Source organism: Homo sapiens, chromosome 11 (assembly GCF_000001405.40).
Source record: "Homo sapiens chromosome 11, GRCh38.p14 Primary Assembly".
NCBI lineage: Eukaryota > Metazoa > Chordata > Mammalia > Primates > Hominidae > Homo > Homo sapiens.
Window position 1 is genome coordinate 125,041,490 of NC_000011.10, and position 16,115 is coordinate 125,057,604.

The window sequence follows — 16,115 nt, forward strand, 5'->3', positions numbered from 1 at the left end:
TTTGTTATTTCCTTGCAGTTTTTCCTGATACAAAATATGAAAAGGTTTAATATTATGAATTGGAGATACATACTAACAGTTTCTTTTTTCTACTTTCTCTAACGTACAGTGCTGAAGAAGCACTTAGGTTTGTGCTCAAAAAAAAAAAAAAAAAAAAAAAGCCTAAACATCTAGCCAAGGCTTTGAAAATAATTAGAATTACATGAACAAGATTGAATAGTTATGCAACCAGATTACCTAGTTCAGCCAAAATCCTTGAAGTAATTATAACTTGATTCAGCCTTTAAGTGTTGTATTTTTTAACAGCTCTATTGAGATATCATTCACATATTATATATAATTGACACATTTAAGGTGTATAATTCAGTGGTTTTTAGTATATTCACTGGTTGTGCAACCATCACCACTATAAAATGTTCACTCTAAAAAGAAGCCCCCATGATCCAGCAATCTCATTTCAAGGTATATCTCCAAAAGAATTGAAAGTAGGATCTCAAACAGATACTTGCACACCCATGTTTATAGTGGCATTATTAATAATAGCCAAGGTGGAAGCAACTCAAATGTTCATCAGTGGATAAATAGTAAATAATATGTGGTATATACAATAAAATATTCAGTCTTAAAAAGGAAGGAAATCCTGTCACACACTGCAACATTATGCTAAGTGAAAAAAGCAGTCACAAAAGGACAAATACTGTCATATGCAGTACTTTAGGTAGTCAAATTAATAGAGACAGAAAGTAAAATAGTGGTTGCTAGCAGCTGGAATTAGGAGGATGTGGAGAGCTTTGTTTAATGAGTATAGAGTTGCAGTTTTGCAGGATGAAATGGCTCTGGAGATCTGTTTCACAACAATGTAAGTATACTTAACACTACTGAACTGCACACTTAAAAATGGTTACAATGGTACATTTTAGGTTATGTGTTTTTACCACAATTAAAAATTTTAAAAATAGAAAATAAAGGAATCCCCCATACCCATTAGTAGCCACTCCCCATTTTCTCTCCCAAAATGCACCTCCAACCATAGGCAATCACTAATTACTTTCTGTCCTATAGATTGGCCTGTTGTGGACTTTTCATGTAAATGGAATATATCATATGTGATTAGATTTTTTCATTTAACATGTTTTCAAACATCTATCTTGTAGCATGTATCAGTACTTCATTGCTTTTTATTGCTGAATAGTACTTTATTCTATGGATATACCACATTTTATTTATCCATATATCAGTTGACAGACATTTGAATTGTTTCTACCTCTTGGCTATTATGAACACTGCTATGACCATTTATTTGCAAGTTTTTCTGTAGACGTATGTTTTCATTTCTTTTGGATATATACCTGGGAGTGGAATTACTGGGTCTTCTGTCAGCTCTGTTTAACCTTTTGAGAAACTGCAAACTGTTTTCAAAAGTGGCTGCACCATTTTACATTTCCACCAACAGTGTATAAGGGTTCAAATTTCTTCACATGTTCGCCAACACTTGTCATTATCTGTGTCTTTGCTTATAGCCATCCCAGTGGGTGTGAAATGATATTTCATCGTATTTTTAATTTCCATTTCCTCATGGCTGTAATGTTGAGCATCTTTTCATATACTTTATCTCTTTCGGAGAACTGGCTTTTCAGATCCTTTGTTTACTTTGTAGTTGGGTTATTTGTCTTTTTATTATTGAGTTATAAGTGTTATCATTGTATTCTACGTATAGGTTTCTTTTTTTTTTTTTTTTTTTTTTTTGAGACGGAGTCTCGCTCTGTCGCCCAGGCTGGAGTGCAGTGGCGGGATCTCGGCTCACTGCAAGCTCCGCCTCCCGGGTTCACGCCATTCTCCTGCCTCAGCCTCCCAAGTAGCTGGGACTACAGGCGCCCGCCACTACGCCCGGCTAATTTTTTGTATTTTTAGTAGAGACGGGGTTTCACCATTTTAGCCGGGATGGTCTCGATCTCCTGACCTCGTGATCCGCCCGCCTCGGCCTCCCAAAGTGCTGGGATTACAGGCGTGAGCCACCGCGCCCGGCCAGGTTTCTTACCATATATATGATTTGCAAATATTTTGTGCCATTCTGGGGATTGTCTTTTTACTTTCTCTATGATTTTCTTTGCAGCACAAAAGTTTTAAATTTTGACAAAGTCCATTTTATTTACTTTTTCTTTTGTGGTTTGTGCTTCTGTTGTCTTGTCTAAGAAACCATTACCTAATTCAGGGCCACAAATATTTACTCCTAAGTGGTCCTCTAAAAGTCGTATAGTTTTAGCTCTTATATTTAGGTCTGTGATCCATTTTGAGTAAGTTTTTCATACGGTGTTAGGTAGTGTTCCAACGTCATTCTTTTGTATATGGATAACAAGGATCCCAACACTGTTTGTTGAAAAAGACTATTATTTGCCCCATAAGATTGACAATACACATGAACTTCTATTTCTGAACTCTCAATTGTGTTCCATTGATTTATATGTTTTACCTTATGCCAGTGCAATCTGTCTTGATTACTGTAGCTTTGTAGTAAATTTTGAAGTTTGGAAGTGTGAGGCTTCCAACTTTGTGCTTTTTCAAGATTGTTTTGCTCTTCTGAGTCGGTTGCATTTTTGTATGAATTTTAAGATCACCTTCCTGCAAAAAGCTGGCTGAGATTCTGATAAGGATTGCCTTCAATCTATTGATGAATTTGGGGACTATTGCCATCTAACTTATGAACATAGGATGTCTGCCCATTCATTTAGATTTTCTTTCATTTCCTTCAACAATGTTTTATAGTTTTCGAAGCATAACATTTGCATTTATTTTGTTAGGTTTATTTCTAAGTATTTTATTCTTTGATGCTCTTATAAATTGAATTGTTTTCTTGCAGATTGTTTATCACAGGTATAAAGAAATACAGTTGACTTTTTTGCATTTATTAATAGTTTTTTAGAGAAAACCTTAGGATTTTGTATATATAAGATCTTGTCATCTATAAATAGCCTTTTATTTCTTTTCCTTGCCTAATTGCCCTGGCTGGAATATCCAGTACAATGTTTCATAGAAATGGCAAAGTGGACATCCTTATCCTGTTTCTGATTTTAAGTGGGAAGCATTTAGTCCTTCACCACTATATAGGATGTTAACTGTGGGTGTCCTTTTTCAAGTTGAGGAAGTTTCTCTCTATTACTAGTTTGTTGAGTGTTTTTGTTATGGAAAGGTGTTGGATTTTGTCAAATGCTGTGTCTGCATTTATTATTATCATGTATTCTTTGTCCTTTTTTTCTGTTAATATGCTGTGTTACATTGTTTTCAGGTGTTAAATTACTTTGCATTACCAGGATAAGTTGTATTGGTTTTTATTTGTTTCTTTCTTTCTTTGGTCTTATAAAACAATTTTATTTTGCTCGTTTGATTCTACTATTTTTTTTTTGGTTTGGTAATCTGAAACAGGTGAATTGACTGTTTGACATCAAATTAGTAGTAGAATTATGATGGGATTAGATCTTGCATTGGATTAGGAGACTTTCAAGTCTTCTTTTAGCCTATGAATATAAATTTCATCTGAGAATGTGTGTGCTTTTACATTATAATTTGGTTATATGTAGACAATGTCTAATGATTTATGTTTGTGGAGTTAGAGAATGCTGAGTAGCAGCTACCAACGAGGAAGACTGAGTCTCATGACCCTTTGTGATAGTAGTATGGTGAATCCTGTTTGGATTGGATCAGTGTACTTTGGAAAAGAGCCTGGAATCTTAAGTGTTTTTTTTTGTTTGTTTGTTTGGTTTTTTAGTTTACAAGTTTGTGAAATCAGAGTTGTATAGACATATTCCACTGTTGCGGGAAGTCAGGGACCCCAAACGGAGGGACCGGCTGAAGCCATGGCAGAAGAACACGGATTGTGAAGATTTCATGGACATTTATTAGTTCCCCAAATTAATACTTTTATAATTTCTTATGCCTGTCTTTACTGCAATCTCTAAACATAAATTGTAAAGATTTCATGGACACTTATCACTTCCCCAGTCAATACCCTTGTGATTTCCTATGCCTGTGTTTACTTTAATCTCTTAATCCTATCAGCTGAGGAGGATGTTTGTCGCCTCAGGACCCTATAATAATTGCATTAACTGCACAAATTGTACAGCATGTGTGTTTGAGCAATATGAAATGTGGGCACCTTGAAAAAAGAACAGGATAACAGCAATTGTTCAGGGAATAAGAGAGATAACCTTAAACTCTGACCGCTGGTGAGCTGGGCGGAACAGAGCCATATTTCTCTTCTTTCAAAAGCAAATGGGAGAAATATTGCTGAATTCCTTTTCTCAGCAAGGAACATCCCTGAGAAAGAGAATGTGCACCTGGGGGTGGGTCTCTGAACTGGCCCCCCTGGGTGTGGCCATCTCTTATGGTCGAAACTGCAGGGGTGAAATAGACCCCAGTCTCCCATAGTGCTCCCAGGCTTATTAGGAAGAGGAAATTCCTGCCTAATAAATTTTGGTCAGACTGGTTGATCTCAAAACCCTGTCTCCTGATAAGATGTTATCAATGACAGTGGTGCCTGAAACTTCATTAGCAATTTTAATTTTGCCCCAGTCCTGTGGTCCTGTGATCTCCCCCTGCCTCCACTTGCCTTGTGATATTCTATTACCTTGTAAAGTACTTGATGTCTGTGACCCACACCTATTTGCACACTCCCTCCCCTTTTGAAAATCCCTAATAAAAACTTGCTGGTTTTTGTGGCTTATGGGGCATCACGGAACCTACCAACATGTGATGTCTCCCCCAGATGCCCAGCTTTAAAATTTCTGTCTTTTGTACTCTGTCCCTTTATTTCTCAAGCTGGCCGATGCTTAAGGAAAATAGAAAAGAACCTACGTGAATATTGGGGCAGGTTCCCCGATATTCTACCGATTTTCTAGATTAGTAGGGGCCTGTAAGAAAGAAGAGGTGAAGATAGGAACTGAGCCGAAATGAGTAGATTTTGATTTGGGTGGTAGGAGTGTGAGGGACAGGATTAAATTTGCATCCTCAATTTCAAACAGGGTAAATGGCAGGCATTTCAATTGAAAAATGATTAAGTAAGAATGAACATTTCCTCGATGACTGTTTACATCTTACTCAAACTTTCCTCAAACTTCCTATAGGTTTTTCCTTACTTTCACTACCAGTTGGTGGCAGTACTTCCTGTGCCACTGAAAAAATAAGCAATCAAAAGGAAACTTCACAAGTTTCCACCATCATACCTACCCATCTACTTGCATCTGTTAATTCCTGTTAATGTGGATGAACTGTTTGTTCTCCTATCTTAGGCCTACCCTGACATGTGGCTAGATCCAATTCCTTCCCACCTACTCAAGGACATTTCTTCAGCATTTCTTCCCCTTCTTTTCTGCATCATCAGTTTTTCTCCTGTATACAAGAGTATTGCTATCAGTTTATAAACATGTTGTAATTTTGCCCATCTTAAAAACCAACCAACTAGAAAAAAAAGAAGAGAGGAGGAAAAAAACACCTCTATCCCACATCTTCCTTCAGCTGCCACTGAACTTCTCTGCTTCCCTTTATAACAAAAATCCTTGAGTTGTACATATTTGCTGCTCCTATTCCTCTCCTCACATTCTCTCAGATGCATTTTAGTGAGACTGTTTGCCTTTACCTCTCTAATAAAAGTACTCTTATTAAAGTCACCCAAAACTTCCACATTGCTAAATCTAATGGTCATTCTCAGACTCCATCTTACTGTCTTACTTACTTGCTTACTGTCTTACCGACTTATCTGTCAACAGAATTAAACAATTGATCAATCTTTTTTTTTTTCTGAAGTACCTTATTACCTGGTTCCCCCAACACTAGAGCTTTTTATTTTTCTTCCAACTACAACTGGCTATTGCTTCTTAGGTTTTGTTATTGTTGTTGTTGTTGTTTTTTGCTGTTTCTCCCCCATCTTCAATCCCTTAATATTGGAGTATCCTGGGGCTCAGTCCTTGGACTTCTTTTCTGCCTTGCTTTTCGCTTGCTCTTTTGGTGATCTCTTCTTATCTCATGGTTTTAAATATCATCTAAATACTGATAGCTCTCAAATTTATATATCTGGTCCACAGCTGTCTCTAACCTTCAGACTCATCTAACCCTGACTGCCTACTTGACATTTAGTTTTTCACAGATTTGCTCCTCCCACAGTCTTCCTCATATCAGTTAATAGCAGTTGCATCTTTCTAGTTATTGAGGCCAAAAATCTCATGGAAATCATTGACTCCCACCTCCGCTGCTCATCTTTCATCACTCACTCCATCAGCAAATCATTTCAGTTCTACCTTCATAATAGATCTGCAGTTCTCATGACTCCCTTTGCCATATGCCTGACCCACCCACCGTTCTCTCTCTCATGGATTATTGTAAGAGTTTCGCAAGTAATCTTCCTGTTTGCACCTTATGTATTTTCTCAGTACAGCTACCATACTTAATATTAATGTATCCCAAAACCAACCTTCTGATCTCTATCATTGCACACTCACCAATAAAACTAACCAACACAAAAATGTTTTCCTTACTATAGTCTTCCCCTTCTCAGTAAACAACAACTCCATCCGCTGTTTCTTCTGTCCAAAAAAAAGTGTGAAGTCAACCTTCATTCTTTTCTTAAACAACCCATATTCAATCCTTATTGGATCCACCTTGAAAGTATACTCAAAACGCAATTATTTTTCAATGCCTTCCCCACTACAACCCTGGTCCAAGTCATCATATCTCATCTGAGTTCTTGCAATAGCTCCCAAGTTGGTTTTCTTGCTTCCATACTTCCTCCTATAAACTGCTCTTAGCACAGCAGCCAAAGCAGTGAAAATAATTAAGCTCATGCCACTTCTCTGTCGAAGCCTCCTTTGGCTATGCGTTTTGCTCAGGGAAAGCTGGATCCCTTACAATGTTGTACAGGCCCTACACAATCTGATCCCTGTTACTTCTGAGGCTTTATCTCCAAGTGCCCTTCTCCTCGCTCACTCTACTCAGCCACACTGACTTTATTCTTCCTTGAACATTCTAGGGACACTTTTACTTCAGGGCTTTTTCATTCGTTGTTTGCCTGGAGACACGTCTTCCTTAGAAAATGTTTGGCCACTTCCTTACCTCCTTCAAATCTTTGCTCAAATATGGCTTATCAGAGGGCCTTCCTTGACCATCCTATTTTTAAATGCAGTCTTCCCCCTGGCCCCCAAACACAGGTACTCTATATCCCCTTTCCTTTCTTTTTCCTCATGACACTTATAGCTGTATGACATACTATATATTTTGCTAATGTTTATTTTCCCTATGTCCCCACTAATTTGTATATTTTGTGAGGACAGAGATTCTTGTCTCTTTGTTTAATGCTGCAGCCTCAGTTCTTAAGGCTATGCCTGGTGTGTAATAGGCTCTCAATAAGTATTTGTTAAATGAGTCAATACATTTGTCTTTAAAACATTCCAAATATTTCTACATGATTAGTACTTTTACCTAATGTGCTATTTACTAAAAAGGTTATTAGGAATCATTTTCGTTTGTTTTCCAGGTTTTCATTGCCATTGTGATTTGGAACAAATAATTTGATTTCTCTGGGCAGCACTTTCCTCTTTTGTAAAATAAGAGGGTTATACTAAGTGGCCTCCATCTACCCTATAGTTCTAACATTCTAGGAATTTATTATTTGTTTTGTACTTTTGACCTCACTGTTTCTCATTTTTCAGTTCATTCGCTGTTCATGCCGAGGTGTGGAGTAATGGTAGGTTTTACTTGTGGACAGTGAGATAAGGGTGGAACAAGTTTATTCTCCTCTACTGTAACTCCAGGATTGATTGTGTTGTCTGAGTAGATGCAATTTCTATAGGTCAAAGTAGAATAGAAGGGCAGAACAGAGGGCTACAGGAGCATATGGACATGAGCCCAGCAAGAGAGGCACAACCCCATGAAAGCTTAGCTTTAGCTCTTACCTAGAAGGGAACTTTATTAATTTCCAGAACCCATGGCAAGAGGTGGAAATGTGTATGTGATAGAGGCAATTCAAGGATTATGGTAGTAGCAGGGGATATACATGCTGTACTTTTCCTATAATAACCATCAGAAAGCATGTATGACGTGTTTTCCTAGGCATGCAACGTGAAACAGCTTGCTCCAGTTGCTTTGACTTAGTAAACTTCTGTGTCCTCTCCCTTCCATTGTTCCTGGATATTACTTAATTGTCCAGGCCTCACCCTTACCTATTTAACACTTTTATGATGGGCAGTCAACAACTTTATTGATGACCTACTGGGTACAGAGGCTAGAAACTCTTGCTTTTATATCTTCTAGACATTTAAGATTTGATAAAGGAGGCAGCAGGTATTATTTTTCTGTGTTTATTTACTTAGATTCTGTTTTTAGAATTAAAATATGTCCTTCAGTTTCTCTCTGAGTGTGGTGAGCATAATTTACTTGTGCCCCATCTTAAACATTTTTTCATGCTTCTTAGAAAAAAAGTTTGGGAGATTGGAACTGTTATAGAGGAAGACAAAAGCAAATAGCCACCTGGCTTGCTGGACCCATTCTGTTGGGTGAAAGACTTTAAATATGTTGGTTCAGATTTTTATAGCTCTCTTAAGGTGGAAATGAAGGGTCCATCTCTGGTCTTGTTCTCTGTATCACTGACCACTATTTGAGGTGGGCTGTATGGAAGCTGTCTAACATAGGTCACATGCTGCCAAGGAGAAGCCAAAGTGATTCCTTTTGATTAAGACAACATGGTGTTGTACCACATGAGTTATCTTATGCAGGCTCCAAGATGAGCTTACTTCTTTTAGAAGTTACCACTCAATTCTTGTCATAGATTCTACCCATGCTCAGATGCCTACAGCAATAATTAATGGATGAACTTATTAAACATGGTCATCTGATGTAATGCAATATGAAGCATGCAGTGCCTTCTGTAAAGTATTTTTGCCAAATAAAAGGTCGAAACTAAATGTAATCAAACCTGTCAGTCTTTCTCACTTGGTTATTGGGAGAAAAGCCCTAATGTTCTAAGGAATTCATTGTATATAATAAATTAACTTCTCTCCTGTTGATCTAGAATGGTACTAGTTATTTATGAACCATCTTTGAGGGAATTAAGAACATAATCACTCAAACTAATTTCTGGTTTAGATGATGATAATATGTAAAGAGAAAAGCCGTGAGGATTCCACTTATAGGAAATACAAGGAAACAAGTTAGATTATGCCACGAAGAAGCAGAAATCCAGAATATGGGTCATTTTGTAGGAAAATTGAGCCAATTTCTTTAGCAAGTTAAGAGCTTGAATTTTAAAAATGAGGAGATGGCTCTAGACAAACTTATAGAGTTAGCAACCACTAAATATAATGTATGGACCTTGTTTGGATCCTGATGTGAAGAAACAGTCTGAAAAAATAACTTTGAAGCAATGAGAGGAATTTGAATAGAATCTAAGTGATTCATTTTGTTAGGTAAGTCGACAGCATTGTGGTTATATACAAGAAATATACAGAGATGGCTACTGAAGTATATAGGGATGAAATTATGTTTGAGATTTACTTTAAAATAATTCAGTATAGATGAAGTGAGTGTGGCCAAAGCTTGATAATAGTGAATCTAGGTGACAGGTTTGTGGAGTTTCATCATGCTATTCTCTATTTTTGTGTATGTTTGAATTTTTTTAAGTTATTTACTTCAAAAAACTTAAACCTGAAATAATTTTGTTGACAGTATAACTGTCTTCCTTTTCACTCTCCCAAATATTAGGAGATTTGGATGAGAAAGTAGTTCTGGGACTTCTGACATAGTTATTATTAGGTGGTGACTAGAACCTAGAGGCTGCAGTGTTTTGTGGCCTTTCTATAAGAAAGACTGATTAAATAGAATTTAGGTTTATTCCAGAGACCAGAAGCTCCCTAGCATAGCTCACACCCTAAGTAATTAGATAGGCACCTAGCTACCTGGTTTTATAAACTATAACTAGTGAATTCCCAGGCATATAAAAGTTGAGAAATCAGGGATGAAAGACCATGGAGAACATTAATGACAGAAAGAACGAAATGGTAATTTTGTAAATAAAAGCAGTTTTGAAACCTTAGGGTGAATTGGGGGTAAGAGAGAATATGTGGTTCAATTCAGAGATAGTAAAAGTCCTTTATATTTCTCTCTTCCCTCTGAACAGAGTCTGTAGAGATTGAAAAATTGCTCTTTGTTGTCAACTTTTTCTTGCTGTCTTCAAAGGCCCTGTTTCTGTGGGATAGTTTGTAGTGGTTAGGATTGTGTGTTCACAGTTTAAATTCTGGTTTTATCACATATCAACCATGTGACCTTAAGCCAGTTATTAATATTTAGGTCTGAGCCTCAGTTTTATCATCTGCAAATTGAGAATAGTAATAGTACTTACTTCACAGAATTGTGGTGAGAATTCCATGAGATAGTAGTTAGCATAGTGCTTGGCACATGATAAGTACAGGAAGTGTTGGAAACTAATAATCAGAATTAGTATCTTTATTATCATAATTACTACCACTATTATATGTCCTCTGTCCTACATATCTGAATATTACTACTCACTTCTTATAGTTCTTGCTTAACAATTCAAGAGGGGAGGCCTTCTTTCCTTACATTGGCTGCATGTAGAATCCTTGGTGTTTCAGATATTTTAGCCAGAATAAGCTAGTTAGGCATAGGAACACAGAGACATCCAATTTGGCCTTTTGAGTTATTGCCTAAGAGAGGTTTTCTATGTCCCTAGGTTATGATGACATTAACATTTGATTTACATTTGGCTATTTGATCTTATTCAGTGCTCCATCCTACACTGAGCCTACTTATGACTAAAACCAGATTTTTGTTTTGTAGGTGGAGGAGCAAAGGAAGAGTTTGCCAGATGGATGGGTGTGCCATTTAGATTGCAAATTAGCATGCCTTCTTTATTGCTAAACCTGAGGATTAGGTGATGCCTGTGTTTAAATCCTTCCTGGTTCAAAGCTGTAGGTACCCACATCCAACAAGTTACACCCATCTTATCACATTGCCAGAATTGAGTTATGGTTCAGCTGGAGGAAGAGGACATGTCTGTCCTTTTTTGCCAGGTGGGCACAGTGTTTTCTCTAATGAGTTCAAAGCATTTGGCATACACATGATCAATACCACTTTTTCTTTCACACATTAGGACATTACATCCTACACATAAAACGTGACTGTGATACAGCTCTGTCTTTTAGGGCTTAGAGTGTTTTCTCACATGGCTGTAACTCCTTGTTCTTACCTTATAAGTAACTTGGGTCAGGGATGGTAGATAAGGGGGGATCTGAAACAGAGCTAAGACTAAGAGGAGGATGACAAAGATACAAGGCAAGGACCAGGACTGAGCTAAGATTAACAATGGAAAACAGAGCTTGAAGTGGAGCAAGATTGGAACTTGAGCCAACACAATAGGAATCAGTAGTTAACTAGACATGGGTCTCTGAAAACTGTGGAGAGGTGATTTTAACTAGTCTAATAGACTTACATACAGTGGCTCACATTGGAAAAATCCATTCATCAAGGAATGTAATCTGACACAGGTAAACCATAATAGCTGGAGACTGAGTTAATGCTCTGTGAATATGTATTTTTATATGTATTACATTTTCTGAACCCCTGACCTACCTCTTCCTTTTCACTATTAGCAAAATAGAAATGTAGAGATGAATAGCTGTTAATACAGCTTAGTTTGACTCCAGAAGTAGGATATAATTGGATCCATATCACTACTACCTGGCCCACTGAGGCAGCAGGAATAGGGAATTTATTCAGGTTGTGGTATAGCATGTGGTATATAGTTCTGCTGTATGACACACAGGAAGTGGGTTGTGATGCTCATTTCAAGACACATTGCTTTGGATCCATGAGCCACTTATCCCAGTTACCATCACACCTCATGCTTCTGTGTTTCCCAGGAGCCTTTCTTCAGTTGAATAGTTGGGACTGTAAGCCTTGCCAGGTAGGATGGTAGACAGATTCACTGGGATTGGTTCCAAGTTGGGTATTGCCCCTGCATGAATCACACGGGACTGAGTCTGGCCTCTCCTTGGGGACTCTAAAAGCTGGCTAGGTCCATTACCATGAGAGTCCCTTAGGATTAACAGGCCTTTTGTTTGCCTGAAATATTCTTCAAATTCTGAGTCTTAAAATTCTAATAACTCTTAAGGCAAAGTACTAGTAGCATCTGTCTGTGAACACTTAACCTGATTTCTCTCACTCGGAAGCAATTATTCCTGCCCAATTATATAGTATACTAGTTGTAACTATTTAGCATATAGGTTTTCTGAATTATATGATAATGTTTATATATCTTAAAAGATAATTTTCATAAAAAGGTAAGATCATGACTCATACAGATATAAAAATGAACGTGCATTAAACATTTAATTCATGAGGGAAATAAGTAGATGTTTCAACTGGTTCCAAGAAAAAAGGAAAAAAATGCACAAATTTATATAGATAAAAGAATGTTGGATTGGATGTGCAAATGGAGGCAAAACTGATGTTTTTCATATTTATCTACAGTTTGCAGAATTGTTAAACCAAGGAGAACTTTAGGCTAAAATCAGGTCACTTTGGAGGGGTGTCCTCTAGACAATACATTATTTTCCACTGAAACATAAATTTTTTTCTACATCCTCTCCCATTTCGATCAAAATAGTCTGAAAGAAAGACTATGCTTGATCACAAAATAAGGCCGGTCTCATTGGATTGGATCTAACTATAAGTACGGTAAGCATTTTAATTTACCACAAAAGTCTCCTTCAGTTTACATTGCTGGAAGTTTTCATAAGGAATTTCAGATTTAACTTTTAAAATACTTGTTAACTGGACTGTGTATTTGTTCATAGTGCATCTGTTTTCAACGTGATTGGATTGTTAAATTTTGAGGTGTGTGTGTGTGTGTGTGTGTGTGTGTGTGTGTGTGTGCGTGCCTTAAATTTCATTCTGTGCAGTAGACGAGGACTTGATAAGACAATAACATGAAAGAAACTGAAGTGTTTTCTGGCTTTTCTAGAGATATCTGGGCATGTCCATTTCTCTCTAGCTGAAACTCTGTTATCATAAACTAGGAAGTACTTGTTTCAATTCATTACTAAGAAGGGGGAGAAAAGGTTTAGTAACAGTGATCAGAAAATACTGGACAAGCTGAACATGGTGGCTCTCACCTGTCATCCCAAGGCTGAGGGGGGAGGATGACTTGAGGCCAGGGGTAGAGACCAGCCTGGGCAACATAGCGAGGCCCCTATCTCTAAAAAGGCAAAAATAAAAAAAAAAATTAATTGGGCATGATGGTACATTCCTGTAGTTCCAGCTACCCAGGAGGCTGAGATGAGAGGATCACTTGAGCCCAGGACTTCGAGGCTGCAGTGAGCTATGATAGCACCACTGCCCTCCAGCCTAGGTGGCAGAGAAAGATCCTGTCTCTAAAACAAATTATTTTAATTAAAAAAAAGGAAAGAAAATAGAAATTACTAAGGCATGCTTTGGCATACAGTGAACATTTGGATGTTAATTTTGAAGAAAGAAACATTTGGGCTTGAGAATGAGTTTCTAAGAAGGTAGAGTGGATCAGCACTCTTTTCCCAGAAATTTCCATCTTGATCTTGATTCCTGACTCTTGTAGCCTGTTCTTCGTATATTTTACAATAAGGAATGCCAACAGTGTACTAGGAGCCAGGGCTCTCAGGCTAGTGTTACAGAGTTGTAGGGAAATTCTAGGATGAAGTTTTTGCTGGGACAAAGCAGATGAAAGAGTTGAGTTTTTCCAGATCTGGAGCTTACCTGTTGGGGATGCTGTAGACATCTAGAGGCAGCAGGGATATCTTCAGTCTTTATTGTGTAGTGCTGGTTTGTTTATTCAGACCTTCTTTAATCTTACTAATAAAACTCTTCACTTGAAGACCTTTCAGTCCTTGCCTGTGAAAGGCATGATTGTTCTTCTTGAAGTCACATGCTTTTGATTTCTAAACCCATTTCCATTTTCATTTGTTCAACCTGTTCTCCCTGTTTCATTCCTCTTGCTTCACGATGTTACAATAAGAATGCATTCCTAGTTGTAGACCTAAGGAGCAGTGTAAGGCAGGGAGGCATTCCCACAACTTCCTTGAGCCTATCTTAGGCTTAATTAAGCCTATCATAGGCTTAATTGGTCACAGGGACAGAGGTTAGTCCCAAATGATAAGAAGGAATCTGTTTCTACAAATGGAGTGGCCCTTGGGGAGAGCTTCTGTCTCATCTTTCCACCAGCATCACTGTGTGAACCAGGCATGTCTGTTCTCTGCAAGTTAAATTTGTTTGTCTGAGTAGTAGGGAGGAGTATTATCTCCTAGCCGTCTAGAGGTGCCGATGAAGCTGTTCGATAAAAGCAGAGTTACACGTTTAAAAAAATAGCTCAACATCGCTGATCACTAAAAAAATGCAAATCAAAACCACAATGAGATACCATCTCATGCCAGTCAGAATGGCTATTATTAAAATGTCAAAAAACAACAGATGCTGGCAAGATTGCAGAGAAAAAAAGAACGCTTTTGCACTGCTGATGGGAGTATAAATTAGTTCAACCATTGTGGAAGACAGTATGGCAATTCCTCAAAGACCTACAGACAGAAATACCATTTGACCCAGCAATCCCATTACTAGGTATATACCCAAAGGAATATAAATCATTCTATTATAAAGATACATGCACAGGTATGTTCATTGTAGCACTATTCACAATAGCAAAGGCATGAAATCAACCCAAATGCCCATCAATGATAGACTGGATAAAGAAAATTTGGTACATACGCACTATGGAATACTATGCAGCCATAAAAAGGAACAAGATCATGTCCTTTGCAGGAACATGGATGGAGCTGGAGGCCATTATCCTCAGCAAACTAATGCAGGAACAGAAACCCAAACACTGCATGTTCTCACTTACAAGTGGGAGCTGAATGATGAGAACACAGGGACACATGGCAAGAACAACACACACTGGGGCCTGTCAGAGGCGGGGTGGGGGCTGGGGGTGGCACTGGCTGGGTGTGGAGGGAGAACACCAGGGGGAATAGCTGGGCTTAATCCTTAGGTGAGGGGATGATCTGTACAGCAAACCACCATGGCACACATTTACCTATGTAACAACCTTGCACATCCTTCACATGTACCCCTGAGCTTAAAAGTTGAAGAAAAAAAACGAGTATCGTAACTTGGAATCCAAGGCACAGTACTGAAATCTGTATTGCTAGTGAGGTACTTGAGTTAATATGGGCAGCTGACCATGCTGCTCCATAGCATATTCTCCAAAGGAAAGATTTCTACTTAAAAAGTAAATTTCTCCCATCCTGTTTCTGGAATTAGAAAACTGAGAACTACTAAAAGGAAATTAAAGTTGACAGAGCTTTTATATATATAAGACTTTTATAAACTAAGGATAGATTCACGGGGAGTTACAAAAACAGTTCAGAGGCGTCCTGGTACCTCTTACCTAGTTTTCCCCAGTGATTACATTTGACATAACCGTAGTACAGTATGTGTGTGTCTGCTATTTTATCACATGCATTGATTTGCGTAAACACCAATGCAAACAAAATACAGAACTATTCTGTCACCACAAAGACCTCCCTTGTGTTACCCCTATAAAGTTACACCCCTCTCAACCACCACCTTCCTTAACTCCAGTCCATCTCTAATCCCTTTTCCATTTTTATGATTTTGTCATGTTGAGATTGTTATATAAATGAAATCATACAGTATGTGACCTTTTGAGATTGATTTTTTTTCACTTGGCATAATGCCATTATGTCAATAGTTCATTTCTTTTTATTGTTGAGTAGTATTTCATGGTATGAATGTACCACAATTTGTTTAACTTTATTGAGGGGCATATTGGTTGTTTCCAGTTTTTTGTTATTATAGATAAAGCTGCTATGGACAATTCATGTACAGGTTTTTGTATGGATGGAAATTTTCAGTTATCTGGGATAAAAGCCCAGGAGCACAATAAGTGTATGGTAAGTGTATTTTAGTTTCTTAGGAAAGTGACAGCATGTATTTGGGTAATGTTTTTTATCTACTCTGCCAGGGGTGGCGGGGGGTGAAAGTCCAGGTTTCCTATTTGACCTCTG